At 35.0% G+C, this 5,260-nt stretch overlaps 1 annotated feature.

Moving 5' to 3' along the window:
* Positions 262-1,461: an enhancer, noted in NCBI's record as "CDK7 strongly-dependent group 2 enhancer chr2:139879874-139881073 (GRCh37/hg19 assembly coordinates)". NCBI's record gives its function as "activates an origin of replication core promoter dependent on BRD2, BRD4, P300/CBP, MED14 and CDK7 cofactors, with strong dependence on CDK7, by STARR-seq in HCT116 cells {active_cell/tissue: HCT116}" and the evidence as "EXISTENCE:reporter gene assay evidence [ECO:0000049][PMID:35650434]".

Consider the following 5,260-nt stretch of genomic DNA (forward strand, 5'->3'; position numbering starts at 1 on the left):
CTCTATTTCTAATCTGAGGCTTCCATGTCTGTGTTATTCCTGCGGAGTGCTGTTGATTGCTGAGGTCATGGACACGGGAAATGTTTTTAAGCACTACTGGGGAAAAACATTAAAACAAATAAAGAATCTCTAAAGTTCTTATTAAGTACAGAGGTGAAGTCAGTTCTAATTGTTCTATATGAGGGCACTTCCTACTCAACCTATTCCTCCATTTCCACTCCTAGCAAAGGTATTACAGCCATTACTCCTTGCTCTTCTAAAACCAACATAGCATGGTTTCTAAATCCCTTCCAATGTTGAAGAGATTGGGAGAAATAAGCCCTCTCCCCCACAGCTGGTATGATGCTATTAAACTGTCTGACAACAACAATAATATGTGTCTGTATAATAGAAAATAACATTTACTAAAGATACAGTAGTGTGAGTGTGAAACACAAAGTGAAAGTGTCATAGCCTTTCAATATTGTTTTCAGGGTTTTATATAGTTTTCTGAAGACAGACAAACGTAAGATGTATAATACATACTATACAACATTTGGAAAGTACAATACATGAAAAAAAACAATCACCAATATTTCACCTTCTTCTCCAAGCTCCCAGGAGCAAACACTGGAGTTACCAGAATAATATGCCCAGGAATTTAAAGATATTTTTCTTCATTTTAAAATTTAGAATCTCCCCATGCACCCCCCACACCCATCCCCCAACCTTACATGTGAAGGGGAAGGCTATTGCGCAACACATACCACTCATTTTCTTACAATTCACATATCAACGCGTAGAACGTGCTACCTTCCTCTGCTCATTCTGGATTTTTGTGGTTTAGAGGCTGCTTAACCTCAAAGTCACTCCCAATGTCCCCCGTTATTAATGCCTTTGTGTTTTTCCCTCTTTCACTGTGTGGGCTGGAACTAGTGACTCACTTCTGATGAATACAACCAGCAAAAGTGAAGGAATGCCACTTCTGAGGAGGTGACAAAATAACTGACTTCAGCCTGGCTCCTCTCTTTTCTCTGCTATTCATCACGTTGTGAGCTGTCCATGGGGAGGCCCATATGGCCAGCAACCAAGCTCTCTGGGCCTGGCTAAAAGTCTGCCGGGGTTCAAGTTTTACTGACATTCATATAAGTGAGCTTGAAAGTGAAACTTCCTCCAGACAACCCTTGACATGACGTAGTTTCTGGTCAAAAATGATTGCAATTTTTGTGAGAGATCTTGAGCCAGAAGATGCAGCTATGCTGCACATGCGTTCCTGATGCACTAACACTGTGAGATAAATGGTTGTTCTTTTAAGTTGCTATAGTTTGTGGTAATTTCTTATGCAGCAATAGGCTATTCTTACATTCAGTAAATCATTCCCAATTCTATGTCTCTTCAACCCTGATACCAATTATAGTCCATAATGCTGGCTGGCATCACAGAGTTTAATTTTTATCTATCTTTTTAATTGACAATTAAAAATTGCATTAAAGTTTTTTTTCTTTTTATACTCAATTTTCCTGTATTGCTAACTGGAGTAGGGGTTTGCTTGGGAGAGAATAAGAATCTTTAGAAGGTGAAGTGAAGTAATCATATATCCATAATTTGATGGTTTGCACCCAAAGTGAATTTATGATCATATTGGCTGGCACCATCCTTGGATTTTCTTTTGACATTCTATTGATCTTTAGTTTAGTTACCATTTGTTTTAGAACAAGGCAGTTTTACTTCATCTCTCTGCTCTCTTTTTTATTTAGTTGTTCTGCATTGCAGATTTCTTTTAGTTTTTGTTACCCAGCATATTTTTCTCTCCTTTCTGCTTTATAGAAACCACCAGTCTATAAACCAAAACAGCCCATAAATCAAACAGCACACCCAAACATGTCATCATTAGTCAATCAATAAGTAAATACTCAATGATGATACCATGCAAAACATATGTTTAAACTTCCAGTTGGATAAACTCTTACTTGCTCTAGGAAGCCGGGACTCAGTCAAATGAAATATTACACACTCAGTGTTTACTTACCATTCAAGGTGAGGATAGTTCCTCAAAACATGGTTTTATACAGCATATTTTTCAATGTAGTCTTTCCCAAAGTAAGTTAAATAGTTGCAATTTAGGAATTTGTTACATATTTTATGATCACTTAAAACTACTCTTGAGTTAGGATTTGATCCTTTCTTTGGGTGTTTAGAGCAAAATTATAGGAGGATATTGGCATCCTTTTATCCATTTTGAAGTCAGGCAATCATAGTTACCCTGTCTGCATTCTAAAATATCATAAGAGATTTAGAGAGGCTTTTACTGAGAAAATGGGAGCATTTATCAAACAAGGATGAATTTGCTTTAGGTTATGTTTAATACAACTGAATTTCTTAGCTCCTGGTTATGTTAATATAATTTAAAGATGACCATAAAATTTTGTTCCCTGGAGCTAACCCTTTGAAAGCTAGTTGCTTTTTAAATTAATATGAATAATACATGAAATGTAGATGGAGATTTTTTCAGTCTCATTCTATTGCATCATTATAAGACATGGCAAATAAATGCCAAAAAAAGAAGTTCAAAAATAAAACTGGATAGCATGTATTATGCATTCATATTATTGCTGCACATCAATTTTTTTGACTAACTTTGGCAGTAGAGGACTACTGAAAATCATTGAAAATATTGATTGTAAAATGTACGCCGTGCTTTGAAAAATGGAGAAAATCCATAACTATTCAGCCTGATTTGGCAGTAGGATGTTCATCCATTATGTAGAAAGTTCTCACATATTATTTGCCATGTTTAACAATTAAAATAATATCAAAAAATGTTTTAAGACAAAGTATTTTGAGCTCAATTAAATCTTTCTCTGATACGTTAGAAAACATTTTGGATACTTCATTTATCTTCATTCTACCAATATTTATTGTAATACATGAAATTTAGGTAAAATTAATTCCAGGTTTTTAAATGTTTTTGTACAATAAACTACTGTAGTTTAGTGTACATTAATAATATATAGCATAAACTCATGTCATTTTTAAAATTGTATCTTCAAAAAAGTGTGTAATCTTCAGAACAACAAGTTGATATAAGTAGACAGCCTGAGGATTCTCAGAAATGCTTGGCAAAAAGATTAGGCTTCCTCTAGACAAGCTGGATAATGACCCCAGCTGTATTTATGGTTGTAAAAAAGCAATCTTTGCCAGGCTCGGTGGCTCACACTTGTAATCCCAGTACTTTGGGAGGCCAAGGCAGGGGGACTGCTTGAGCCCAGGAGACCAGCCTGGGTAACATAGTGAGACCTTGTCTGTACAAAAAAAGCAAAAAAAATGAACAGGGCATGGTGGCACATGACTGTGGTCTCAGCTACTTGAGAGGCTGATGTTGGAGGATCACTTGAGCCCAGGAGGCCAAGGCTGCAGTGAGCTGTGTTTACGACACTGCACTCTAGCATGGGCGACAGAGAAAGACCCTGCTAAAAAAAAAAAAAAGAAAAAAAAAAAGAAAAAAACCAATACTAGAGACACTTGGGTTTCCTAGGTTACATTATAGGCATAAATGAATAGGAGAGTTAGGCATTATCTGATCCAAGGGAACTCTCCTGGCACCCATGAATCATAGAAGGCACGTATCTATCCACCTATGCATACATTGGCCATACTGGATCTGTAAGTAGAGTTGAACTACATAAATACGTCTGTAAATGTATACATGCATACACAAATACATACACACCCTTTGATTAATGAGCCAAGAAAAACTCTAGGAGACTTTTTTTTTAATTAAAACTAGTTTTTAAATGTTGAAAACTGTAAATCATTCCCAATTGTTTTTCTAGAATTGTGTAATACTTCTAAATAACATTTGGTTAATATGGGTGCAGAGGGTTTCACTGGACAATTCTATTAACTATTTAATTCCCAAATAACCCCAATGCTACTTATCTTGCTCTAGGGAATAGAAAAAGAATTTTAAAAACTTTTAATAACAGCAACAATAGTGAAGTCAGAATTTCTACTTAATGGAGAAGTAATAGAGGAATTCCCATGGAGTTGGAACAGGACAAGAACATTCAGCATTTTCACTATTAAATTTTTATATCAGAGCAGAACTTCCAGCTTTGGCACTGTTGGTATTTTGGGCTGGATAATTCTTTGTTATGGGGCTTGGCTGTCCTGTAGGATGCTAGTAGCATATTCATGGCTACACCCTAGAAGATGCCAGTAGCACCCATGGCTCCCACAGTGGTGAAAACCCAAATGTCTCCAGATATTCCCAAATATTGTCTGGAGACAAAATCATTCCCAGTTGAGAACCACTGTAGTGATGGCATTAATCAATGAAATCTAAAGGATAAAAATGTTAATAACATAAAAACCAAAAAATAATAAGATAAATTATCTTTATTTGCACATGATATATTGGAAATTCTAAGATAATTTATGATACAAAATTTTAAAACAAGTGAAGTTACAGGATGTTAAAATTAAAATACAAACTCTATAGTCATACACAAATGACATCTATTTAGAAGATATAGCAGAAAAAATTACAATAGCAACAAAGAAAATAAAATGCTTAACATAAATATGTGAAATCTATATGAAAACAATTTTAAACACTTTCCAAAAGCATGCAAGTGAATTTGAACTAATGTAAAGATATGTCTTTTTCTTGAACAAGTTCCACTTCATATCACAAAGATGTCAATTCCTCCAGGTTAGTATATAAATATAAGATGATATTAAGAAACTGCCAATAACTTTTTAATGCAATTGGATGAGTTGATTCTAAAGTTTAGATTGGAATACAAATATCTAGAAGAGCTAGAAAAATCCTTAAACACAGGAGAAATGGTGGAGTGGGGAACAAATAACTCTACGAGAGATTAAAATATTTTGTACAGTAATTTCAAGTGAAATACTGTGTTATTGGCACAAAATCCAATGGAATATAGATGTACCTCATTTTATTGTGCTTTGCTTTATTTTGCTTCACATATATTGCACTTTTTGACAAAAGTTGAAGGTTTGTGGCAACCTTGCATGGAGCAAGCCTATTGTCATTTTTCTAACAGCACATGCTCACTTCATGTCTCTGTATCACATTTTGGTAACCCTTACAGTATTTCAATCATTTCGTGATTTTTGTATCTGCTGTGGTGTTCTGTGATCAGTAATCTTTGATGTTACTATTGTAATTGTTTTGGGGTGCCATAAACAATACATATGTAAGATGGTGAACTTCGAGAAATGTTGTGTGTGTTCTGACTGCTTCACCAACCGG

This window comes from Homo sapiens, chromosome 2 (genome assembly GCF_000001405.40).
Source record: "Homo sapiens chromosome 2, GRCh38.p14 Primary Assembly".
Classification (NCBI taxonomy): domain Eukaryota; kingdom Metazoa; phylum Chordata; class Mammalia; order Primates; family Hominidae; genus Homo; species Homo sapiens.